This window comes from Homo sapiens, chromosome 10 (assembly GCF_000001405.40).
Source record: "Homo sapiens chromosome 10, GRCh38.p14 Primary Assembly".
Lineage (NCBI taxonomy): Eukaryota > Metazoa > Chordata > Mammalia > Primates > Hominidae > Homo > Homo sapiens.
This window is the reverse complement of record NC_000010.11, coordinates 22,462,694-22,488,973: the sequence shown is the minus strand read 5'-3', so window position 1 is coordinate 22,488,973 and position 26,280 is coordinate 22,462,694. Positions and strand designations below refer to the sequence as shown.

Genomic DNA, 26,280 nt, shown 5'->3' with positions numbered 1-26,280 from the left:
ACATACCCTGAAACTATTCAGCCCTTTTCACCTCTGTGATTCCTCAAAAGTCATAAATGGTGTTCCTACGTTTAGCAAGTATGTATTAAAAAGGTACCATGTAGGTGGGTGCAGTGGCTCACACCTGTAATCCCAACACTTTCAGAGGCTAAGGCAGGAGGATTGCCTGAGGCCAGGAGTTTGAGACCAGCCTGGGCAACATAGTGAGAAAATTTTTAAAATTTGCTGGGCACTGTGGTACATGCCTTAGTCCCAGCCACCTGGGAGGCTGAGGCAGGAGGATCACTTGAGCCCAGGAGTTGGAGGCTGCAGTGAGCTATGATGGTGCCACTGTACTCCCACTGAGCAACAGAGAGAGACCCTGGTTCTAAAAAGAAAGAATGAATCATGTGAAAAGCACCAGGAAGGATACAAAAGAGGCCCTGCCCTCTTTCTCAAGAGGAAAACGTTAAGAAGCAATGTGCAGTGAAAGGTGTCAGTGGCTGTGCTTAGAAGTTCATGGAGGGAGAGAGCAGCATCGCCTGCGTGATCAGGGAGGACTTCTTAGAGGAGAGGTTAGTTAGCTTTATCTGAGCCCTGGGAAGATGCAAGGTATTACAGACTCAGACAGCTGGAACAATACATTTACAACAATTTAAAATTAAGGAGTGATGGCTTTATAAATAAACAGGCAACAACAGGGTTATCGATAATACAATCTAGCTGGGCACAGTGGCTCAGGCCGGTAATCCCAGCACTTTGGGAGTCTGAGGTGGGACTACTGCTTGAGTCCAGGAGTTTGAGACCAGCCTGGGCAACACGGCAAAATCCTGTCTCTACAAAAAAAAAAAAAAAATTTAAATTAGCTGGGTGGGGTGGCTCACACCTGTAACCCCAGCTGCTTACGAGGCTGAGGTGGTAGGATCACTTGAGCCCAGGAGGTTGAGGCTGCCATGAGCTGTGTTCATGTTACTGCACTCCAGCCTGAGTGACAGAGCAAGACCCTGTCTCAAAACAAAAAATAATACAATCTATGAAATAAACAGCCACAATCTAACAATAACGGCTATAAAGTGACTTGACTTCACACCTTTCATGATTTCTCCAGATTCAACCCTCTTATCTTTATTCCATTCTTGATATTATCTCAAAGGAGAACTTGTCAGGGACCTAAGGTGATTCCCGGCCATACGTGGACTTAGGCCAAGTAGGGCCAACCCCAGCTGTACTGTTACGGTTTCAGAGAGATAAACCATGTAAGGCTCAGCTTCCTGATGTTTGAAATAAAGATCATAATACCTACCTGAACAGATGGTTCAGAAGATTAAATAAAATTATGTGTGAAGAATCCTTAGCACAGAGCTCAACATGTGTTATGAACCCAAATAAATGCCAACTATTATTGCATGGTTTGATTCCTCTGGTTTAGTAAGCACAGAATGACAGGCAGATGTTCCTTCCAGTGGGGGCATGTGACAGGCACACAATAAATGTGTACCGAATTAATTACTGAATTAATTAAGCAAAGGTCCTTTCACTTCATTTAAGAGCTACTATCTATTAAATCAATATGGCATTCGTTTGATAGTCCAGTGACACTTGAGCTGTATTATTTTGAAGAAAATCTATGACAGGAAATCTCTTCCCTACTTGACCTCAGAGATGATGAGTAAATAGTTCTGGTCCTTTACAAAAATTGCAAAGAACTGTGGATGGGGTCTTCCATAAATGAGAGGAGCTAAAATGTAATCAGGAGACTGCAAGAACTATTTTGTACAACAAATAATGGGTACTGAATTCAAACTTGAAGAATTATGAGTTATCTCCCTTTTTCTTCCAGTAAGGGTTTTTCTGGGCCAGTAGGAGCCCAGGAGTTCGAGACCAGCCTCGGCAACATGATAAGACCCCACCTCTACAAAGAATCAAAACATTAGCTGGGCATGGTGGCATGCACCTATAGTCCCAGCTACTTGGGAGGCTGAGGTAGGAAGATTGCTTGAGCCCAAGAGTTTGAGGCTGCAGGGAGCTATGTTTGCAGCCACTGGAACAATAATTTGTAGGGAATGGTAAAGGGGAATTCAAGTAGGAAGAAGGCCAGGTGAATCTTTAAACATGTGAACAATGTTTGTTTCAAATAAATCTTAGAAAAAAGATTCACCACCCATCAGAGAACACAGTTTTCTAACTCCTCTTTCTCAAAAAAAGTACCTATAAATGGGTTTTATACATAAATGTTGAGATTTTAAGGAGATATTTCATGCCCTGGGCATACAGCCAGCTTGTTGGCATATTTCAGGAAGAAAAGTATCTGGAAATATGTCATAATTGGAGAAGGAAGGCCAAATGATAAATAGTTCATCTAGTACAGCAGATCAGAATATGTCAGAGAGAGAACATTGGCAGGAAAGCTGCCTCAGGACGGATTTCTTGGAATTCTGGACACCACATGGATCAAATTAACTTCATGGTTCAAGGATATCCTGTTTTCTGAAGCTACTGTGCTTTGAACAACTTTGTAGCATCTGTTGGAAGCAAAATATAATCTGTGGCAACTCATTTATATTTTCAGAACTTTGCCTTCAAAGTCCTGGGGAAGCTCCTCTGATGTTCTAAGAATATGTAACCCATTTTTGGTAGCAGAGCTTTGGTAAAAGTTAATGGTCTCCTAGAGAAACAAGGGGCTCCTTCCCGGCACTGAGAAGGAAAAGTGGCAACATTAACCATGGCCATTAAGACAACAGGGCAGTGGCCAGCTGCAGTGGCTCATGCATGTCATGCCAGAACTTTGGGAGATTGAGGCAGTAGGATCACTTGAGTCCAGGGAGTTCACAACTAGCCTGGGCAATATGGCAGCACCCTGTCTCTACAAAGTATTCTACCTCTACAAAAATAAAAATGAAAATGTTGGGGAAAAGAAAAAACAGGAAACAAAAAGACAACAGACCCATAACTGCCAGGCCCCTCACAAAGAGTTGGCACTATTCTGTAAACATTTTATTTTCTTGACTTCTTTTTATCCTTCGATTTTTCCTCTGCATATTTGCAGCAAAGAGATTTCCAAGATAGTCAAAGTCATGTATTCTCCTATATTAAAAAGGAAAAACTGAGGGATTGCCTAACTCAATGCAAAGCTCTAATTCACCAGAACTGATTCAGGGCTGGACACTTTACAAAACAGGAGTGTGTGAGTGTGTGTGTGTCTGTGTAATAAGGAGGAGGGGAAGCTTAGCAGGAGAGAGCAACACTTTTTAATCATGACATTCTCTCAACTAATGGGTGTGTTCCTGGTCCTTAAGGGTAGATAGATTAAAATTAAAACAAAAACAAAACAAAAAAAGGTGGGGCGAGGTAGCTCACCCTCTAATCCCAGCACTTTGGGAGGCCAAGGTGAGCATATTGCTTGAGTCCAGGAGTTTGAGACCAGCCTGGGTGACATGGCAAAACCCTGTCTCTAAAAAAATACAAAAATTAGCCAGGCATGGTGGAACATGCCTGTAGCCCCAGCTACTAGGGAGGCTGAAGGCTGAGGCAGGAGGATCACTCCAGCCCAGGAGACAGAGGTTGCAGTGAGCTGTGATCATGCCACTGCAATCCAGCCTGGGTGACAGAGTGAGACCCCATGGCCACCCCCCCACCCATAAAAACCTCCATGGGTGGACTGTAAAAGATTCAGTATGCGTGTGCATGTGTGTGTGTGTGTGTGTGCACGCACACGTGCATGCACATGAGAAAAATGCACAACTTTAGGGCATGTGGTCAGATACTGCACCTTAAATTAGAAAAAAAAAAAAAAACTGATATAAATGGTGTTTCCACCTCAGAAAACCTTTATAACTAGGGCAGAACAATCATGTGTAGTCGCCCAGAGGCTGTCTGCAAGACTACCTAGAAAGATCCAGAAAACTTTTTCTTTTCCATTTTGGGAAAGTACCAAGAAAAAAAAAAGTGAAAACTAAATCCGAGTTAATAACAAAATCTATCATTTCAGGTCACTCATGTGGACTTGAATGAAATATTATTTCTATTATTTGCTTGGAAATGTTTTTACAGGACTTGTATATTATTTCTATTCTTTGCTTGGAAATGTTTTTACAGCTAAACAGCAAAATCAGAGATGCCCATGTCAATTTCTGTTAAATATAACTTACTATTTTTAATGAAGAACATAAAGACTGCATAGGTCTACTTTAGTTACTTCCTTTTATTTAAGTATCTCTTACTTCAATGATAGAAAATGGCAGAAATTTATTCTCTTCTTGAGCGTGACTTGTTAGAGTTAAGGTAGTTTACTCCCTACTTCATACTCATCAACTTCAATTAGCTTTCATAAATATACTATATTATCAAAGTACCACTGAGTTATCTGGCAAGACTGCAAAATTGGTCACTTAAATTATTAAACTATTTTTTAAATGTAGTCTACCAAAACTTACAAGGCCAGAGAGTAGGATGGTATTTTAACCAGATATGAAAGACAAGATTATGTATAAGATATAAACAGATCATCCAAATTCATGAGAAAAACATTGTCACCAGTAGATAAATGGGCAAAGTGTATTAACTACAATTCACAGGTAAGAGGAAGGACAAATTAGCAAACATCTAATATATGTCTTCATTTGTAATCAAAGAAATATGCTTTTAAAACAACCCCAAGAAGCAATTTTATACTTGCCCATGTAGTATCTTTTTAAAGAAATCACACATCCGATGTTATCAAGGTTAAGGTAAAACTGGTTTTCTTGTTCAGTGCTAACAGAATTATACACTATCACAATCCCTACAGAAGGCAAAATGGCAGTACATAAACCATACGCATTTGTAAAGAAGAAATACTCAATCACTGTGCTGTCTAATCATTTACATCTACTTAATTCAAAGTAATTCCATCTTAAGATACCCTCCACTTCTATCAAACTAGCACTTTAGACGTTGACTCATTCTGGCATAGGTATATATTAGACCATTCAGAAGAAGCAAAGAGAAAATGTTGGAGTTACTTTAACCAGATATGGAAGTATAAAACATTTTTTGGAGTTAGAATATAACTTCTTAATGTAATTGGCTTTTTTTTTTAAATTTTACTAACAACCAAATGCACTAAAACAAGGACACAAATATACATTTTAGGAAACAAATATTCTGAGAACATTTCTAGCTAATTAACCAATTGGCCTGGATTTCAGTTTCTTGATCTGTAAAAGGGAGCTGATATCTCTAACTGAGGGCTGTCTGGGAAATAAGTAAAGAAATGTAGGTAAAGCACCAAGCTCGGTGCCTAGCACTGAAAAAACTACTTTAGTTTTTCTTCTGCAATCTCACCTGCCCATTTTCTGAGAAAGGATAATACATTTTCTCTCTCTCTTTTAATATAAGAAGAATAAATGAAATGATATGCATGGAAAAAGTGCTTTGAAAAGTAAAGAAGCACTCTAAAAACAGAGTATCATTACTAAAAGGTTTAGAGGACTAAGGGAAACACATATATGCCTAAAAACCATTGTGAACTGTTGGGATATCTTTAACAATTGCTGAAAACCAGATGATAGCTGGAGAGTCAAACAGTTCTTTATGAAAACCTTTAATTGCCATTGATTAAAAAAACTATTCATATATTAATCTAGTCGCTCTCATTCTCTTGCTCTCTCACTTCCAATGCTTGTACTTTTGGTTTCATTTCATTCACACCTACTTTCTCAGGTTTATTTCAGTTAGTTTTTATTCCTGTTTCTTTCCTCTGATTTAAAAGATAAATTAAAAAGCAGTGATATGACAAGCCATAATGAAGGGTGGGACAAAAAGAAAAGATCAGTAATAGTATTTTTAGTTAAAAAATGGACTATTTGTTGATCATGAATTTTTGTGTTAATTTTGATTTTTTAAAAAATATTGCATTAAAATATTTATCTAGGCCAGATGTGGTGGCTCATGCCTGTTATCCCAGCACTTTGGGAAGCCAAGGCGGGAGGATCGCTTGAGCTCAGGAGTTCAAGACCAGCCTGGGCAAAGTGGTGAAACCCTGCCTCTACAAAAAAAAAAAAAAAAAAAAAAAAAAAAAAAAAAAAAAAAAATTAGCCAAGGGTGATGGTGTGCCCCTGTAGTCCCAGCTACTCGGGAAGCTGAGGTGGGAGGATCACCTGAGCCCAGGAGGCAGACTGTGCAGCTGCGATTGTGCCACTGCACTCAGCCTGCACAACACAGTGAGACCCTGTCTCAAATGAAATAAAATATTTTGATTACTGAGAAATTTTTGGCAGCCCCTTAAATCTTGTGCCCAAGGCCAATGTTTTATTCACCTCATCCTAGTACCAGCCCTGTGAAAAGGGGAAGAGGTCAGAAAGCTGGAAATGCTCCTAATAGAGCTAATGGAAACTGACACCATGGTGAAGGGTCTGTACACACAGGAACCTGACTCCAGTCTTCCACTCATCAAATAACCTACATGTGACTGTTCCACATTCTGTGTTGCCGAAGACACACATCTCTTTATGGAGAAACTGCCCTGACAGTCTAGATTTGGTCTCCTGTCTGACTGTCACCCAAAAGGGAAAAAGGAGTGTTAGGTCAGAAGAGTAAGGAAAGCAGCTCTGAGTCATGCTTCCAGTTGGCTCCTGGATAGCAGGGTTTCCAAACCCTGATTCGGGGTGGGGAGAGGGAGGGCAGACAGGAAAAGAACGATTTGGGAAAAATGAATTGCAATGTGAGCCACCAGTACAAGTTGAAAGAAGGTGAAACCCCCTGTAGGAAAGCATCTGGGCAGGACTGCCCTCCTCCTTTTGATCCTGAGGTTGACGAGTTTGCATTTTCCTCCTTCAGAAGGCACAGTGAATCACTAGCTTCTATCTGGGGGCAGGCTGGCCTAACCTGGGATCTTTTTAACAAGGGAAGCAGCCTTTCATTCTGCAATTAGAGAGAAAGCCCCAAGTGCAAAGAGGAAACACCTAAAATGAGAGGCCATGAGTGAATTTTCTTTGTAGACTGTAAATACATGTAATTCATGTAAAAGGCACTATTGTTACTGACCTAAGAAGACACATCTAGTGTCAAATGGCTGGCAGCAGGAGTTTTCTAGTGCATGGCAGCCTAGCCAGACTCTGTCCAGGGCATTGCTGACTGACAGCTGTGTGGGACAGTAGGTTACAGGAGGAACTAAGGGCAACAAGTCATCCCATTTTTAACACTTGCCACCTTCCTCCAGGCATGGCCGCAGGAATCTCAGCTTATTCAGAGGAGCAAGAGGAAGAAAAAATAACTTGAAATGTGTTCTCTTGAAGACAGTAAAGACTAGGTGGGGCATGGTGGCTCACACCTGTAATCCCAGCACTTTGGGGAGCAGAGGTGGGAGGATCACTGGAGCTCAGGAGTTCAACACCAGCCTGGGCAACATGACAAAACCCCATCTCTACAAAAAAAAAAAAATTTTAGCCGAGCCTTGTGGCACACACCTGTAGTCCCAGTTACTTGGGGGCTGAGGTGAGAGGATCACTTGAGCCCGGGAGGCGGAGCTTGCAGTAAGCTGAGATCGAACCAAGATAATAAAGACTTACTTTCCAAATGAAGCCACTTGGCATTAGTGACTACAGCTTTGGTGAAGCCAGCTTCACCTATTTGGTTGATGGCTTGTGCTAACTCACAGGTGAACAGAATTTAGTCAAACCCCGACTCTGCTACTTGCCAGCACTGTTACAGAACATCTCTATGCCTCAGTTTCCTCACCTGTAAAATGGGTACACTCAGAGTACTTACCCCATATAGGGTTGCAGTGAAGATGAAATGAGGCAATAGGTGCTCAGAGTGCCCTGTACGCAGTGGGCGCTCATAAATGTCCACTATCATTATCAACCAGACTCACTGCTTTGGTGAATGGCAATTGAGCACTAATTTTCACACCTTTATAAGTAGTCAACAGAAATCTTTACTCCCCCAAAGGCTCATTAGGCCCAGATCTACCCATCAAAGGATGCCATCTTTTCTATAATACCTACCTAGTTCTTTCCAATATTTTCTATGACACCAAGCTTAGGACATGAGCAGCTCTAAGTAGCAAATATGAAAATCCAAGCAAAACAGAGAAAGACTGTATTCAATTATTGTAGATCCCAGTCTCATTTTCACAAGCTCTAACCAGGTGCGAAGTGTAGATGAGTGTTAGTTTTTATGAGCATGAGCGGTAGGTGTGTCTGGGTGTCTATGTTGTATAAAATCCAGTAGGTTGTACAAGTGTGAGATTGCTGAATGTCCAGGGCTGATAAATAACACATCCCGCAGCTTCTGAGGGCAAACAAAACTGTCCCAGTCCAGGCCTGCATTGCTAATTAAGGGCAATAGCCTGGGCCTGTGTCCAATCAGGGGCAGTGGCGGGAAGAGGAGAAACAGGATCTATGGCCACCACGGGGGTGGGTGTCAGGGACTCCTCCTGCTGCTGCTGCTATCTATATTTGTGAAGGGGGGCTTCTAGCTTATGCATGTCACATCCTCAGCTGGACACCTTTATCCTGCGGAAAGGCCTAGCTCCCACATGGGCCTTTGGTTCTGTGGCCTGGACTGCACCCGGTTTCTTGTCAGGCACTGTATTAGTCCATTCTCACACTGCTATAAAGAAATGCCTGCGATGGGGTAAAGTATAAAGGAAAGAGGCTTAATTGACTCACCATTCTGGATGGCTGGAGAGGCATCAGGAAACTTACAATCATGGTGGAAGGTAAAAAGGAAGCAGGCACCTTCTTCACAAGGTAGCAGGAGAGGGAAATGAAAGAGGGAAAACTGCCCCTTTTAAAACCATCAGATCTCGTGAGAACTCCCTCACTATAACGAGAACAGCATGGAGGAAACCACCCTCATGATCCACTCACTTTCCTCCCTTGACATATGAGGATTACAGATCCCTCCCTGGACAGAGGGGGATTACAGTTCGAGACGAGATTTGGGAAGGGACACAGACCCAAAGCATATCAGGCACCCACTGGTCCTTCTGCTGCTGACAGCTGTGTTTTGTGCACCTCCTGCCAAACACAGCAAAACACAGGGAAGATGCAATGTGAATTCCAGGACAAAACCATCTCTCCAAAAACCGATTATAGCCCAGTGTCTCCTGTTGACTCCATGGTGATGGTGATGGTGATGGGTGTGGTAGCAAAAGCCCCAAGACAGACACAGAAGACCCCCATTCTCTCTATGTGGCCTAAGCCTAATTGCTTAACCTCTCTCAGCCTTAGTTTCTTCATCTTTAAACGCAGATAATAAGGATTTGTCATAAGGAACCAGCAAAGATTCTGTCAGATCTGAAGTCCCATAACAACAAAGGGTGTTTCGTTGTGATTTCTGCAGCAGCTCCAGCTGTTGGGGGAAAATCACTCAGCAAAGCTCTTGTTTGGTCCAGTTCTCTGTGGCACCTCGAGGCAAGACTCAGCCAGCTGGTGACAGACACAGCAGCTTTCTGGGCCCTGTTCTAGTATTGCATCATCTGGGGAGGGGTAGGGTGAGGCTGAGCTAGCAGAATTCAAAAACAGCTTTCAGACTTTTACTGCCAGAGAAGACCAGGAGTTGTATGTACGGTTTCCAAGAGACTATTTGGTACGTGACTTTGATCTTTATCAAGCTAAAAAGGGTAATATAAAATACAAAAACAGCAGATTTGTGTGTATATGTGGGTGAGTGTAAGAGAGAGAAGAGAGACAAAGTTGGGTGGGCAGGGGGGGAGAGAGAGAGAGAGAGAGAGCACCCAGGATTGTCATTAGCAAAGAACAATTTTTAAACGCCTATCCCAGCCTTGTGCAACCCTTCTTGGTTGAGATGAAAGAGTTTCCAAGACATTCCAAGAAATACTCCCACTAGCTGATTTCCAGATGCCATCTTGTGCTCCAAAGGGACAGGAGGACTTTGTGGCTGCCTGGCTCCCACCACTGCCTGCCTCCCACACCAGAGCAGAAAGAAAAGTGGGACAGAACACATTTTACTCCATGCAAGCTCGAGGCCTGATTCTAAATGAAGTGGCTTAGCTCAACGGCCCTTTAGAGAAGGTCAACCCCACGTGGTCTTCATGTAGCTCTGGGTCCTTTAATACTTACTGAATAGCTGCTGGGTGCAGGTATAATAAGTAAAACCCATACCTGCCCAAATGCCCACTGCTGCCATCCTATTGTCTTGCTGCTCCTGCCCTCAATGACCCCCTCCTCCCAGGCGACCAACTTCTGCCCATCAGGCAGGCTCCTTCCCCACCCAGGTGACCTGAGTGCTAGACTTGGGGTTGGGCCGGGGAAGAAAAGCGAAGATGCAAACCACAGTGGTTTTATGAGAGCAGCACTGACCTGCCATCTGCCCACCAAAATGGCTGTCCCCAGCTCTGGGCCTCAGTTAACTATTTGCTGCCAGAGCCTTGAGCCTATGTTAATTATACAGGAAACTTTGATTTAGCAAAAAAGTTGATCTTGCCTCGAGTGACCTGCAGAAACTGCCCACAAGAGCTACAGTCTTGAAGTAGCCCAGGTGGATTTCTTGTTTCTCATGTCAGTAGAAGGTTAGCAATCATGAAACTCTGTGACCATCAGTCTGATCACTGGCAATTTCAGGTTGTGGAACGCTTAGTTTCTTTTAATTGGGTCTGCATTCTAAATTGAAACATAATTAGAGGTAATTTAACTTCTTTGGGTGCTTTACCTGAATCCTTATTTTGCAATTTGAACTTTCCTCTTGTAATTTAAGTGGAAATATATCAAGTAAACAGACAGTTATGTATTTAAATAACCATCATAATCCCCAGGAAGTAGACAGCACCTCTGCCTTGGGCAGCGGTTTGCGGGCACACAAGTCTCGAACTGAAATAAGCAGGCAAGACATAATTAGACAGCGCTTCTCAGCCTACAGTGGTGCCTTACGAGTCTGAGCGACCAGGTCTGCGCATGGAGAGCCCGGCCTTCTTAGGCGGCGACAGGTGTGTCCTCCGGACGGGCTCCTGGCCGTCTCCACCAGCTTTCTCGGGCTGAACGCGGCTGGGCTCCCCCAAGGCCTCCCCTTGCTGACGGCTCCACGCCTGCTGGACGAGAAGCGGCCTCCCCGGGGCGTCGCAAGCCCCTGGGACAAGAAGAGGAGCCGACATTGAGGGAGACCTGAGCAGTGGACGCAGGCAGCGTCAGCCTGGGCGTCCCCGGAGTCGCGGCGAGACCCTGGCTCCCCACCACCGCCCGGCTCTCAGCTTTGGCATCGCGTCTCCAGAGAGGGCGGTGGATGACGAGGAACTGCAGCAGTGTACGACCCCCGGGCTCCAGACGACCCTGGGGAGAGCGCGCAGAGTTCCTGGCTAGCGGCCCCCTCGCAGCCGGGCACCCCTTCTCGGCTGCGCGCAGCCACTTAGGGGCACAAGATAAGCCCCTGGGGAGGGAGCGGGCTGCAGGCGCGGTGGGGAAGAACGGCCCGGACGCAGCCGGGCACAGGGAAGGCCGGGCCTGCAGACTGGAGAGACGTGGGCTGCGGTGAAACCGTTAGGGCTGCTTTGCCGCGCACAGACGCGGAGGCCTTTACAAGGCCGGCAGGCCTCGCCCAGGGCCTGGGCCGCCGCAGGTGCCTTTGGGTCACACCCGGGGCGAATCCCACCCCCTCCTGGGGCCGCTTCTGTTTACCAAACCCCTCAGGCTATTGCGTTAGTTGTGCGGGGGAAGGATAGAGGCAGGGTCCTCTGGTGGAGGGGAGGGAACTGGGGACCCGGGGCTGCTGGGGACGCAGGCGACAGAATGAAAGGCGAAGAGGCGGCAGCTCGAATCTGTCTGGGGGTGATTTTAACCGGCGCAGAGGTGCAGCATATGCTTTCCAGGTTGGACTGCGGAATACAAAGAACGACTCTGAGCCCGGGGAGCCTCCTGACACCGAAACCAAACGATCCCGACCTAGGGGGGCTGAGTGGCAGGAGACTGGATTTTTTGTTGAGTTGCAATTAAAGGGAGATAATTAAGCCCGGAGCCGCGCAGCTTATTAATATTTATAGCCCGGAGCGACAGGGCCTGCGCTCGCTGGAAGCGGATTTGCAGGCCCAGGCGCGGAGCCGGTGTCTCCTGAGCCAGGGGCTTCGCAGACTCGGGAGGAGAAGGCTCGATGGGGAAATTGGGGAGCGTCCGCCTTCTGCGTTTCTCCTAATTACGCCAGCGGTCAAAGTCCGGCCGGGCCGGAACGTCCCGAAGGCCGGGAACCGCGCGATGCCCGAATGCGGGGCGACCCGGCCGCAGTATCCAGCATTTCGGAAGCCCAGTTAGGTCTCGTCTCTTTGTTAATTACCCAAACTGCATCTCGCAGTATGTTTCTGCCCACGGGGACAGACCGCGCGTTAAGGAAATGGCCCAATAATTAGGACTCGGGGTAGAATGTGTCTTATTTTCTTGGAGCATGTGGGGCAAAGGAGACAGTAGGTACATGCGGCCCTGGCTTTGGGGCAATTTTGCAAAAAAGAAAACGCCCTCCGGCCTCGAATTTCGTCCGCGGTCGGCCAGGCGCCGCGCTTTGGTTCCTTTCCCACTCCGCGGTCCCCGGGTGTGGGCCAAAGCCCGGACCGGCGGGAGGGGCTCCCGGTGCCCGCGTCGCTGGCCCGGCCTGGGGGATGCGCCCGAGCGGGCTGGAAGGAGGGGCTGCACAGGCGGCGCCCACAGGGTCGTAGCGCCCGGGCTGGGAGCCTGAGAGCGGTAGGTTCCCGGCCTGCGGCCGCGCGCTCAACTCCCGGAAAATGCGCGCGAAGCTTTTGCCGTTTGTACCGCACGCGGTTCTCGGATCTCTGCTTTTCGCGCACGGCCGGTGGGGGCGGGGAGGAAGCGCGGGTGGGAGTGGGCGGCCGCGGTTAGCTTCTCCTGTCCGAACGCAGGGTTTCACTGGGGCGCCGCTACGGTTCCTATGGCAACGCGGCTCCTCGACGCAGCCCAGGAGTCGCGGTCGCGGGAGGCTGCGCCGCGCACCGAGCTCTTCCCTGTGGCCGCCGCAGCCGCCAGCCTCTTCCTGCTCATGCTTTTCCTCATCTTCATCTCGGTCTGAGTGGGCTCTGGACCTCTCCACCAGCCTCTGCCCCAGAACTGTTAACTGCGGGGGGGAAAAAAGGAATTTGTCGTCGCAACGCGCGTTCCGATGGAGCCGCACGCCACAAAGGAAGACTCATGCTGCACCCCGCGGGGCAGATGCGGCGACACTGGACATCGCTGCACAGCTGGGTCTGCCCGTTTCCAGAGCTGCTTAGCGCCGACGCCCATAAATGAGGAGGACTCCCTGTGTATTAAAAGGGGGATCCGCAGGGTTTAATTTGATAAGGATTATAGCCTTCATAAAGGCATTTTTAACAAAAAGATGTAGGTGGCATGGTAATCGAGTATTATTTACGCATCTCTCCGCACACGCACTCATACCTGAAAACGTTTTGGCAGGCACAAAATGATTTTTTTGTGTATAAAGAATGTGTGTAACTCGTGGATGGTGGGGTTCAGCAGGACAGATTAGTGACATTAGATAATTTACAACGAGGATTATGTTTGTGCTGAAAATAAAAGCTATATTGTTTATTTAGTTCATTGCCATTTGCATGTGTCCAAGCCTTTTATTAACATTAACCAGCTAGAAAATAATGGCATAATGACCACCTAACCTGTTTTATCATGGGAAAGTAAATGTGATGAAAAAGTATTCAGCACCAATACCCAATAGATAAAAACATTTGCCCTTTGTGGCTAATTTACACATTGTTTGAAATAGATAATGTATACTGTTCTTTTAATGTTCACTTTCTTGACCTTCCTGCAGTATTTTCAGTGACTGTCACACTATTTTCTCTCTTGTCCTCCTTGTTTATATTTTTAAAAATACGCTTTTTGAAATTATAGAATAGTTTTAGGCTTACAGAAAAGTTGCATAGTTCTATACCCCACCTCCCGTTTCTCCTACTGTTAACATCTTAGTGTGGGACACGTCACAACTAATGAACCAATATTCACGCATTGTTACTAACCGAACTCCATATTTCATTTGGATTTCTTTATTTTTCACTTTTTCTGGTCTTGGATCTCATCCAGGATATCACATTTAATCCTCATGTCTCTTGGGAAGGCTGTGACAGCTTCTCTGGCTTTCCTTGTTTTTTATGACCTTGAGCGTTTTGGGGATTGTTTTTATTTTTAATGGAAGTATAATTTACATATAATGAAATGCAAAGATCTGAACTTAAAGTTGTAAGAGTTTCAACCATTGCATACTTTTGGTATCTACTTTTGCCCAGAAAACATCAAGTCTGATATTTGACATATTGTCACACAAATATTGCAGAAGTATTTATTTGTTAGTGTCTCCCATATATATACACATTGCAGTAAAAATTTTCCCATGACTTTTCAATTCTCAATATTTAACATTTTTCAATTTCAAACGTCGTTAAAGAGCTATTAACATAATGTAGCTTTATGAGTTGTTGATAGTTTACTTTCAACAGCCTTCTTTTGGACACAAGTTAAGCTACTGATTGTTTTTTATTCTAGAACATTTTCCTGTCTGTAGAGAGTACAGTCCAGGCATGCTCCTTAAGAAACCAGACAAACTGGGAGATAAGTTAATCTGGGAAGTTTATTGGAGTGGCTTTGAAATTTTAAAAACAGTTTCTTTGTTTTTTAGTTCTTAATATTAAAGCAATAATTAATGCATTTATTTGTGCACAGCTCTTGGAAGAAATGTTTTTCAGTATCACATTGGTAATTTTGCCATAAATAACTGAGTCTCCTAACTGTAAAAAAGCCTTCCATGTGTCCTTAAATCTTTGAGAATTTGACACATGGTGTAACCCCTAAAGATGTATTTTTAAGTAATGTTTAAAAACTTAGGACTGGTGCTTAACAATGAGGAAAAAGGAAAAAAAAAAGGTCTTAATATTATTGTGAACCAGACTATAACTGAAAGCTTGAGGCAGACACATTTTTTAAACAACTGAGTAAAGCACTAAATTAATAGAATCTAATTTCCTCTTCACTTCTGTGATGTTTTATATGAGTAGGCTCAGTGGATCACATTTTTATGGTTTGGTAATACAAAGTGGTGGACATCAGAGAGAAAAGGTAAAATTTAGGGTTGATGTTTTTCACCAACTATTTTAAAGAAACCCACAAGCCTGCCCAGTGTGGTGGAGACCTTCTGGCCACGTTTAGGTAAAGCTGGTCATCTGAGAACCCATCTGTTGGTAATTCCCAGAGCTGCCTTTTAAAAGTTTTTGGCTAAAATAGTTTTTAGAGTCAGGCCATATTCATGCCAACGTGATTCTGGCCCACGTTATACTTAATCTTTCTCAATCCACAAGTAAAAACCAAGCCAACTAGGGTAAAAACTGTTCCAAAGGTGTGGGTGGCTGTAGGCAGATGGTTTTCATTCTTTTGCCATGACAAGAAAAGATTCAAAAATCTGTATGTTTTAGCACTAAATATATTTTGCATCCATTCTTTAAAAAGCCTTAACTCCTACACAAATCAAGTAATATGAGCAAATATCTTCCAGAATGATAATTTTGAGATGGATGTTGAGGAGTAATGCCTTTGAGTGAAGTCTACCTTCAGTTACAGCTAAGAAAAGACATCATGTTAAACACACCTGAGCATATGTGATTATTTCAATTACTTGCCTGAATTTGAGTAAGCTAACTGTGACTATCAGAAAGGATGTCAGCAACAAAAATCCTGGTTTTTCTCTGCCTGCTACAAATCACATTTCAGCAGCTGTCTCTCACCGGCTGAGAGTTAGCTGAGTAGAGGATGACATAGATTTAGTCACGTGTGCACCGATTTCGGCGTAGTGATTAATGCATGTGGGCTCTGAAATTAGACAACCATGTCCATATCTGGTGCCATTACTGACTTGCGGTTGTTCTTAACCATGTCACTGAAGTCTTCTGGGTCCCAGTGCTCTCAAATGTTAAATAGAGATAATAATAATAATACTAACTTCATAAAACTGTTGTGAGGACTAAAGATATTCACATAATATTCAGAATAGGAAATACATAGCACATGGGAAGCACTCAAATGATAGCTCTTATTGTTTTTATTATTTACTGTTTTTAAATGCCTGCTATAACCAAGTATTATACTATACAATATGCTGAGGTTTTGGTAATATCGAAGAAACAGATGTTTTTCTACATCATAGAGCCTAAAAACTAAATCCTTAGGTTTGAGCCCCATTCAACCTGCCTGTTTTAATTTAAAAAGTGTATTTCTACAGTACTTTTGGAGGCTGAGGCAGGAGGATTGCTTGGGCCTATGAGTTCGAGACCAGACTGGGCAACATGGAGAAACCCCATCTCTACAAAAAAAAATACAAACACTAGCCAGGGGTGGTGGCGCACATCTGTAGTCCCAGCTACTCAGGAGGCTGAGGTGGGAGGATTGCTTCAACCCAGAAGTTCAAGGCTACAGTGAGCCGTGATCACGCCATTCCAGCTTGGGCAACAGAAAGAGACTCTGTTTCAGAAAACAAAACAAAACAAAACAAAACAAAGTTTATTTCTGACCTGTAATATTCATAACATTGTGCTAAATGCCATTGATTTTTCTGTGTTCTCATTCATTTTTGCAAAAGAGATGCAAACAAAAAAACAACTCGGACTTACCCAAAGCCCCAGATAGAGAAGCTGCATATTCACACTCAGATCCCTCAGGACAAGATTCCCCCAGTAACACAAAACACAGCACCAACTGCAAATCATCTTCCATTTACTCAACAGACAATGAGTATCAGCGATGTGTCGGGCATTGTTCAGAGCTGGCCATTCAAGGACAAAACACAGTCTTCAACCTCAAGAAGCTTATGGTGAATTGGAGGAAGAGACAAAATTAAATATGTAATCAGTGTACATGGGATAAGTTGCAGTGCAAAGATATAGGGCATCCTGCCAAGACTGAGGGGTGCAGGTGGACAAGAAAAGCCTCCCACAAAAGAGGCCAAGCATAGATGTTGAGAAAAACCATAGCATTAATCCAGGTGAGAAATAAGGAGAACCTGAGCCGAGAATGGGCTGTGCATGGAGAGAAGATTCCGGGGTAAAGGCAAATCCTGGTCACCATTTGGATGTGGGGAAGAAGGGAGAGGAGAGTGTGAAGGAAGGCCCCAGGTCTCTGTTTGGGGGACCAGAGGGGCATGTACCCAAAGAAGGGGTGGAGCAGACATGCTAATGGCTGTCCATGGTGGTCACATTGCAATTACCAGCTCTAGAAGGCACCATAGATACTCATCCCAAGGAGAGCACCAAGAATTGCACGTGAAGCCAGCCTATCTCTTGAGAGAAATCCCTGTAGCCGGGAAGAGAGAAGACAAAATAATAGGAAAATGGGGGGCAGGCACAGTGGCTAATGCCTGTAAACCTAGCATTTTGGGAGGCCAAGGTGGGAGGATTGCTTGATCCCAGAAGTTCAAGACCAGCCTGGGCAACATAGGGAGACAACGTCTGTACAAACATTTTTTAAAAAAAGAATTAAAATAAAAATTAGCCAAGTGCGACGGTGCATACCTGTAGTCCCAGCCACTTGGGAGGCTGAGGTAGGAGCATTGTTTGAGCCCAGGAGGTTGAGGCTGCAGTGAGCCATGATCACGCCACTGTACTCTAGCCTGGGCAACAGAGTGAGACATTATCTCAAAAAAAAAATAAAATAAATAAAGAAAAAGAAAAAAGAAAGAAAGAAAAGAAAAACAAAATGGGGTGAAGGGGAGATACTTGACCTAGAAACATTATTAAAGCCTGCTACAAGGTTTTCTAGGGTATGATCACTTTCCTCATCCTAACACCTTTAGGTCAGGATAATTTCCTGTGAAAAATAGACTTACGGCTTTAGCCAGCGGAAAAATCTCAAAGAAAAAATAGCATTCACTCTGTAGAAAGTCACTTTAGAGCCAAATTTGATGCATATTTCAATCTTAAAATAAAGTATGTACAGAATTATAGTTAGTTCCCTCATATAGGATTAAAGTGTTTAACCGTTATAAAATTTCTCAAGGAGTTTTAAGATTTGTGAAAATTGATTATTATAAATGTATTTCACGTAACCAATTCACTTGCTTATTCTTCTGGGAATACTAATGCCCAAATATAAAGCTCTAATTCATATAAACAAAGAAATCACTCTTACCGTATCACAGAGCCTGATTGGCATGAGTGTTGAAGGAGAAAGTACTCCTGTGGCTTAGAGAGGCAGTGTGGCATGGCAGACAAGAGCACAGGTGTAAGAGTAGCCAGGATAACGTGAGCCCTGCCAGGCTCTATCACTTGCTTGCTCTGTGACCTTGGGCAAGCAAATACCTCCAAGCCTCAGTTTTCTCCTCTAGAAACTGGACAGAGTGATAGTACTTGTCTTCCATGTAATGAAGATTAAATTAGGCAATTGCTGTGGTGGGAATGTCCATATCCCTCCAAAATTCATATGTTGAAACCTAATCCCCAATGCAACAGTATTAAGAGGTGGAGCAGAACCCTCATGAATGGGATTAATGCCCTTATAAAAGAGGTGAGAGCTTGTTTGTCTCTTCTGTCATGTGAAGATGCAGCAAGAAGGCACCAGAGAGGAAGCAGAAATTGAGCCCTCATCGGACACTGGATCTACGACTTGGTCTTGGACCTCCCAGACCCCAGAACCATGAGCAATACATTTCTGTTGTTTATAAGTTACCAGGTCTAAGATATTTTGTTATAGCAGCCTGAATAGACTAAGGCAGTCATCCATGTAATATGCTTAGCACAGTACCTGCAACATAGTAAGTCTCAGTATATTTATTTAGTGCTGGTAACCCACTTAACTATCTTGGTGCCAAGTTTTATTTACAGAGAGTTGTTATCTTTTAAATTATTTATTTCTCAAAGTCTGGTTCTTCCAACAAGTCATTCCAGGATTTGCTATTGTACATAGAATTATGCCTGCATTTAAAATGAATGATGCCAGAAGGAATGGCCTTATTTATTTCAAGAGCTGTATTTTTAAATTGATAAAAACAAATGTAAAGTTTTGAGTATCATTTCTTAGGTAAATTTGACACCTTACTCTGTGCGTCTCCTGAGCTATAATGGCAGCAACAAGGAAAAGCTGTTTCCTCTCTGATGAATGTAACACTTTCTGAATTTAGGTTTGGTTGACTCTTCTGTCAACTCTCCAAACATTCCTGAAAGAGGGCTGCAGGGTGACCTCCAGCAGACTGGATGAGGGAGGCTGGCTTTTGTGTCAACAACTTATGCAAGCATCAGGTACTTCCATTAAACACAAGCGAAGATGCTTCTTTGCTCTGAACCTGGCACTCTAAAACTCAGCTTTGAAAGGAAGCACAATATTCTTTTTTTTCTTTTCTTTGTGTTTTTGTTTATGTTTGTTTGTTGTTTGTTTGTTTGTTTGTTTGTTTGTTTTGAGACAGGGTCTTACTCTCTCACCCAGGCTGGGATGCAGTGGTGAGATCATGGCTCACTGCAGCCTCAGCCTTCTGAGCTCAACTGATCCTCCCATCTCAACCTCCTGGGTAGCTGGGACTATAGACGCGTGTTACCATGCCCAGCTAATTTTTTGTACAGACAAGATTTCGTCATGTTGCCCAGGCTGAATTCCTGGGCTCAAGCAATTCTGCTGCCTTGGCCTCTCAAAGTGCTGGGATTATAGGCATGAGCCACTGTGCCTGGCCTGAAATCACAATTTTCAATTTTGGTGCTGACAACGGGTCATATTTAACTTAGCAGAAAGTTTGCACCTAGCAATACTAGCAATTGGCCAATATCCAGCCTTCCCCCAACCAAGCAGAAAAAAGATCTGGGGGCAAATGCCTGTGAGAGGTTGTGCACAGTGTAAGACCAACACTCTCGTGTGCAGTCTCCATGGAGAGCCAGAGCCTCCCAGCATGGGTCAGGCTCAGGAGAGCACCACAGGGGTGTGGAGATCCCAGGAGGAATGGAGCATTTTGTTCTCAAGCTCTTGGGCACCAATATATCACCCAGGGACTGTGAGTGGGCAGCAGAGACGCTTCCCCTCCTGCTCACTCCAGAATCCTTCATTGTGACTTCTGTAGTACCAGACCTTTCTTTTGCTCTTAGTACACTTAATGTTCTAGTTGCCTGGTTATTTTCCTTGAGTTGAAAAAGAACTCTAGGGTGAGTGACCTCACCTAACCCTGGGGTTAGAAAGTGAAGGGTCCAAGAACCTGGAATAACACCCATGATTATTTTTTAGGCAGAAGAATAAATATTTATCAAATAAATATTGGTTGAATGCTCAGTCAATGCTGCCTAGACATGTGTTTGTATTTCCTAATCATTTAACATTGCAATGTCATATCTTCAACAATCTTCAACAACCTCATGGGGAAGACTCCTACATTGCCTCATTTTTGGTAGGTTAAAGTGAGCCATGCCAAAATAAGCAGTTTCTCAATGGTAGCAAAGAAGTCAGTTAGGTGAACTGGAATTTCAAATACCTTACTTCTGAGTTCTACCAACACACATACCTTTCAGTATCAAAAATACCATTTTTAGACTCTTTCTTGACAAAAGTGCAGAAAATAGGTGGTAGGTAACATATATGTCAAATGCTAAATTGTTTCCTGTGGTTTTTTTAAATGTTTTCCTATGCTTTTATAATAAGCAAAAAGAGCAAAGAAAATTACCAGAGTTCTGATTTTTTTTTTTACACAGTGCTTGCCCACCTAGAATTATTTCTATTTCCCAGGAAATATAGTTTCAACTATATAGAATACACAGTCACATTTTTAGAGAAATAATTTTCAATGTAATCCCAACACACATAGTATGAGATACTTTGAGTATTTGCTGTCACATGGAATAAAATATGGTAAAAAGCAAAAGCTGCAGGGCTGGCCAGGTGTGGTGGCTCATGCCTGTAATCCCAAAACTTTGTGAGGCCAAGGCCGGAGGATCACTTGAGGCTAGGAGTTAAGACCAGCCTGGGCAACATAGCAAGTCCCCCATCTCTAAAAATAATTAAAAACTTAAAAATAAAGAAGTACAAGCTCAAATAAGGACAACTGTCAAATCAATGTATAAGTCTGATTTTGTTATTAGCCTATTACATGCAGTAATGATATCTTCTGAGCCCAAACCTGGCATATGACCTGGTAAATGCAAGGGGGGGAAATGGGACAACTGTTTAAATTCAGAACAGTCTATGAGAATTAGATGGCCTTTATCACGGTACTATTAAGTGTGAGGAAAATATTTTGGAATGATTTGGAAACACTTGAACACTCTTAATATTGACTTTAATTGTTCCTTGAAGTTCTTATTGTGTGCGTTCACCTGTTACAAAACTAAAAATACTATTAGTAATGAGAATTCAACTTAAGAGTCTTAACTATGAAAACAATAAATATTAAGCTTCAGATAATATAGCACTAACTTGTTCCAAGTTAAACTCCAAAGACTATGTCTATAAAATCACTGGTTGGGCTTGGCTCGGTGGCTCACATCTGTAATCCCAGCACTTTGGGAGGCTGAAGCAGGTGGATCACTTGAGGCCAGGAGTTCGAGACCAGCCTGGCCAACATAGTGAAACCTCATTTCTACTAAAAATACAAAAACTAGCCAGGCTTGGTGGCGTGCACCTGTAATCTCAGCTACTTGGGTGGCTGAGGCACAAGAATTGCTTGAACCCGGGAAGTGGAGGTTGCAGTGACCTGAGATCACATCACTGCAAACCAGCCTGGGTGACAGAATGAGACTCTTTCTCAAAAAATAAAAATAAAAATAAAAATAAAATAAAGCCATTGGGAAATTGCACATTGAGCAATGTCAGTGTGGGCAGACATTGTGGAAAATCAATCAGAAAAGGATACCTTTTCTCTCAATTAAGAAATGTTAACTTTCCCTGAATTAAGTGGCTGCTTTGATCTATTCTGTATTTTAGTCATGGCCAGATACGTCATTGTTTGTTCAGTTTGAAAGAAAAATAAAAAGAACTCAGAGAACTGTATCTGGAAAAGCATATTTACTGAGTACTTACTGTGTACCAGTGTCAATGCTCAGATACAGAAAAAGAACAAACAGCCAAACCAACAAATGGCAAATTGGCTCCTGGCCTTAAGGAGCCTCTAAGGAAACAAACCAGTAAATAGATGACTGCAAAACAATGTGTCGAGGTTCTGACAGGGACAGCTAGCTATTCTACCTTGTCACACAGCCAGAAAGTGGTTGAGTGACATCATCTAACATGGCATCTACCTCCCAGAACCACTTCTCGGGGATCAAACCTCCCAAAAGTTTCCACTGAAGGAGACTTCTCAGGATTTAATAGAATATATGCAACGGTTGAAAATAGACTTTGAGAGGATTAAGATGGGTGGTCATTTTGAGGATAATCCTTAAATCACACAGTGGCTTCTTACAGGGATCTGCTCAATAAGATGTTAATGTCACGTCTGAAGAGTGGGTACACAAATGCAAAGCACGGGAAAGCATGCACCACTGACGAGTTTCAAGTCGTAACATAAATATGCAGCCCTTTCAATGGTAAGAGTAGGCCTGATTAGGAACTAAAAACAATGTGTTTGCTTATTTACATAACCGAAGTGTTTGATATCGGTCAAGTTACTAATCTCCCCAGGATGTATTTTCCTCATCTGTAAAATGGGATAATATTAGGACTGTTGTGGGGATTAAATGAGATAATCCATGTAAACTTGGAACTCTGCCTGCTACATAATGCTATATATTTTAAGCCAAAGCATAGTGTCTAAAGTCTATGCTACTTTAGTTTTTTTTTGTTTTTTGTTTTGAGACAGGGTCTCCCTCTGTCACCCAGGCTGGAGTGCAGTGGTGCAGTCATGGCTCACTGCAACCTTAATCTTCCAGACTCAAATGATTTTCCTACTTCAGCCTCCAGAGTAGCCGGGACCAGTGGTGCAGCCACCATGTCTGGCTAATTTTTAAATTTTTTTTGCATAAATGCGGGGGTCTCACTATGTTGCCCGGGCTGGTCTTGTACTCCTGGCCTCAAGCAATCCTCCCACCTCCACCTCCCAAAGTGCTGGGATTACAGACTCAAGCCACTGTACCCAGCAGGATATTTTAAAAAAGGGAATAGATGCAGTTTAAAAAATGTTTGGGGAGAAAGGCAGAAATTGTATTCTGAAATCTTCCTTCTTTCTCTTTTATTTATTACTTGTGTGAGAATCATTTGTTAAAAATAGAGTCCCTATCTCTTAGAGATTCATACTGAAGTATTTGTGGGTGGGTGAAATGATATGATATCCAGGATTTGTTTAAAACTAATACAGTGGGTGGGGGCTGGGGAATGAGCAAGTAGATCAATGAACCAAGCTTGGCCGTATGCTGATCACTATGGGAGCCGGGTGATAAGTACAAGGAGCATTGTTATACTATTCTCTCTACTTTTGTATGTGCTCGAAATGCATACTAAAATGTTAAAAAATAATAATAAAGGCAGAATGTGTAGCTACTATCTGCTTTTATGTATAAATTCTCTGGTGCAGATTGAATGTCCAATTTTTCTTTTCAAACCAGGCAAGCATGAATTTCTGTCAAGCTGAGGCAGAAATCATGTTGCTACGGCAACTCTTCACCACATTAAGTGGTTGTAGAGTCAAAATGGCAGCAGGTTTTTTTGTTGTGTTTTGCTTTTCCAGGAAATGATCCTCGTGTCAGAAAGAGAAATCCATCCCAAAGACCCCTGCCAGCCCCCATTCCCTAAATGAGACTCCCTGTCTTGCCCACCATAGCGGATGAGGGGTGTATGCTTCCACAGTTTTGAGCCAGGAAGAATAGAGGACCAGGAGTCCCTGGGGCAGACTCATGGGGGAAACCACCTAAGTTAGGGGTTCTGCTGACTCTGTTGGCTGGGGATTCACAGCTCAGGTAGGGCTGCTGGTGGACAAGCAAGGAGATCCCCTTATCAGGAAGGCGCCCCATCAGGAAACATCTGTTTCTTGCCTTTCATGCCCTTTCCTGACATATGCAACTGATCAATGAAAAGAAAGGGGGCCCAGTCCCCACTTCCTGAACATGGGACTCTGTTTCCATAGAGGCCCACTATGTGTCTTTAGAATTACAAGAAAACCATTCTTTGGCAGGGGATCTCGGGGTATCATTAAGTCCATCCCCTGCCTTCAGAGAGAAATCTCTAAATCATTCCATATGTTGACTCCAACGGCAACATGAGGGCAGAGGGAGCCCAAGCAAGAGCCATTAGGGTTAATTTCACAGCACAGAACAAACAGGCCCGCTTGGCTTTGCTCGCTGGAGAGATTAGATGGGGTGCCCACCCCTTGACTGTTTGCTGTATTATCCTGGGCAAGTAATTTAACCTCTGTGTGTTCAGTTATATAAGGCCAGGCACAGTGGCTCACCCCTATAATCCCAGCACTTTGGGAGGCCGGGGTGGAAGGATATCTTGAGCCCAGGAGTTTCAGACCAGTCTGAGCAACATAGCAGGACCTCATTTCTACAAAACATTTTTAAAACATGTTTTAAAACAGGTGCATGGTGGTGTGCACCTGTAGTCCCAGCCGCTCAGGAGCCTGAGGTGGGAAGGTCGCTTGAGCCCAGGAGTTTGAGGCTGCAGTGAGCTATGATCATGCCACTGCACTCAGCGTGAGCAACAGAGTGAAACCCTGTCTCTAAAAAAACTAAAATAACATGAAAAATTTTAAAAAGGGTTCCCTTGAGGTTGTGGTAAGAATGAAACAAGATGAAATATGAGGAAATGGCTTGAAGAATGCAGGGATGATTTGCTACTCATGTGAACAGGGAGGAAAGTTACAAAGCCACTCTGTCATTTATTTTTCCCCCTTTTCCTTTCTCCTTCCTTCCTCCCTTTCTCTCTCCATCTCTTTCTGTCTCTCTCTTTCTCTCTTCTTTCTTTCCTTCTTCCCCTCTCTTTTTATGTTTTGATTTTTAATTCCACAAACTAACCTGAGATTTATTTTTCTGGCATGTCCATAGAGACTGTCTCTTCATGTTTTCAACAGTTGGTTCATTTGTAGGCTTCTGGGTGTTGACAACAAGCACCTAGGACATTGCAGGCTAGTCTGTGGGTCCGATAATTCATCCAATACCCTAATAGCACCTATCACGCGATCTCACAGTGCTGGCTTTCTCCTTCCATCTCCCTCTAGCCAATCAAATTCAATACTTTATCACGCACACTATTATTGTTTCTGAAAATTTCCTGCACAGTACAATCCAGAAATCTGACTACCTGGAATTTCATGTACTCAGCCAAGAACTTGTCTTTATTATGAGCATAATGAAATGTTTATTTCAAGTGAATCAACATGTAGAGGGTTTTGTTTGTTTGTTTTTATGTTTTCCTGAAACTTGGTGCCAGCTACAAGAAGCCCTAGCATCCTGCTTGGCATCTGGGATTCAAAACATTTTTAAAGTGACAGGAAGTCTGTGCTGGCTTATATTTTCACACATCTCAGTGCTTTTGAACAGGCCATTTTTCACGAGGCTGCTTCTGTTCCCTGTGTTTTTTTGTTGTTGTTGTTTGGTTGGTTGTTTTTTGTTTGTTTGTTTTTACTTCAGGTAGAATTGCTGACAAAGGTAAACAGTCAGAGGTGGGCCTGCTGTAAGGGTTGCCATGTCTCTCTCTCTCTCTCTCTCTCTCTCTCTACTCTTAAAAACTGTAATACAAAGTCCCAGTTTTGGTTTTCGGAATGCTTGATGCTGCTCAGGCTGTGAACAGTGTGTTAGTTGTCAAGTGCTGGAGTGTGTCTTCGTTTAGTTTCCATAGGATGCCGTGTCTGGGAGGTGAAGCACATTTCTCCTCCTGAGCTCCCCCAGGGTGGAGGCCCCAGAGCATATGGGGCTGAGGCACGAAGAGCAGCACACAGCAAGGAGCCTGTGGGGCGGTGGTGGGAAGAGGAATGAGAGTGTGGAATGGAATCTCAGGTGGATCCAGAGCCATGGGGAGCCACTGTAAGGTCTAGAACAGGGTGATGCAGTCAGAGCCTTTGAAGGCCCATCTGTCTTGTGGCCTCCTTCTGGTTACTTTGGTAGTCTGTAACAATCACTTCAGGTCGTAAAGCAATCTACCTGATGGCAGAACAGCCAAATGGCCTAGATGGGGCTCAAACCCACTAAAACTAAGATGTGTCAATATTAGACAAAGGAACTAACAGATTGTGAACATAATCAATCAACTTTTAAAATGGCAGTGGAGGACAGGTGCAGTGGCTCATGCCTATAATCCCAGCACTCTGGGAGGCGAAGGGGGGAGGACCACTTGAGGCCGGGAGTTCAAGACCAGCCTAGGCAACATAGCAAGACCCCAATCTCTACAAAAAAGAAAAAATTAGCCTGGTGTG

At 43.6% G+C, this 26,280-nt stretch overlaps 1 protein-coding gene and 1 long non-coding RNA gene across 2 annotated transcripts, besides 3 other annotated features; one reads left to right on the top strand and one right to left on the bottom strand.

Annotated features, from left to right (window-relative positions):
- Window positions 1-10,675: 10,675 nt before the first annotated feature.
- On the top strand, window positions 10,676-13,520 carry LOC124902392 (uncharacterized). Its single transcript, XM_047426112.1, has one exon. It carries the CDS (start codon window positions 12,686-12,688, stop codon window positions 13,184-13,186), a length of 501 nt encoding a protein of 166 aa, XP_047282068.1. The 5' UTR covers window positions 10,676-12,685; the 3' UTR covers window positions 13,187-13,520.
- Window positions 11,427-12,110: an enhancer, noted in NCBI's record as "H3K4me1 hESC enhancer chr10:22765793-22766476 (GRCh37/hg19 assembly coordinates)". NCBI's record gives its function as "activates a minimal SCP1, AML or CMV promoter by ChIP-STARR-seq in primed H9 embryonic stem cells {active_cell/tissue: H9 hESC(primed)}" and the evidence as "EXISTENCE:reporter gene assay evidence [ECO:0000049][PMID:30033119]".
- Window positions 12,701-12,770: a silencer, noted in NCBI's record as "silent region_2211". NCBI's record gives its function as "represses an Ori minimal core promoter by ATAC-STARR-seq in GM12878 lymphoblastoid cells {active_cell/tissue: GM12878}" and the evidence as "EXISTENCE:reporter gene assay evidence [ECO:0000049][PMID:35858748]".
- Window positions 12,891-13,180: an enhancer, noted in NCBI's record as "active region_3134". NCBI's record gives its function as "activates an Ori minimal core promoter by ATAC-STARR-seq in GM12878 lymphoblastoid cells {active_cell/tissue: GM12878}" and the evidence as "EXISTENCE:reporter gene assay evidence [ECO:0000049][PMID:35858748]".
- A 2,876-nt stretch (window positions 13,521-16,396) lies between the features above and the next one.
- Window positions 16,397-17,523, bottom strand: LOC105376450 (uncharacterized). Its single transcript, XR_930748.1, has 3 exons — window positions 17,483-17,523; window positions 16,586-16,779; window positions 16,397-16,436 (listed from the first exon to the last, which is right to left on the bottom strand). It is a non-coding gene; the product is annotated as an uncharacterized LOC105376450 (long non-coding RNA).
- Between the last annotated feature and the right edge of the window lie 8,757 nt (window positions 17,524-26,280).

Excerpts from the sequence above, each read along its gene's own strand:
- LOC124902392 (XM_047426112.1), top strand. The coding sequence starts at position 12,686 with ATGCGCGCGAAGCTTTTGCCGTTTGTACCGCACGCGGTTCTCGGATCT.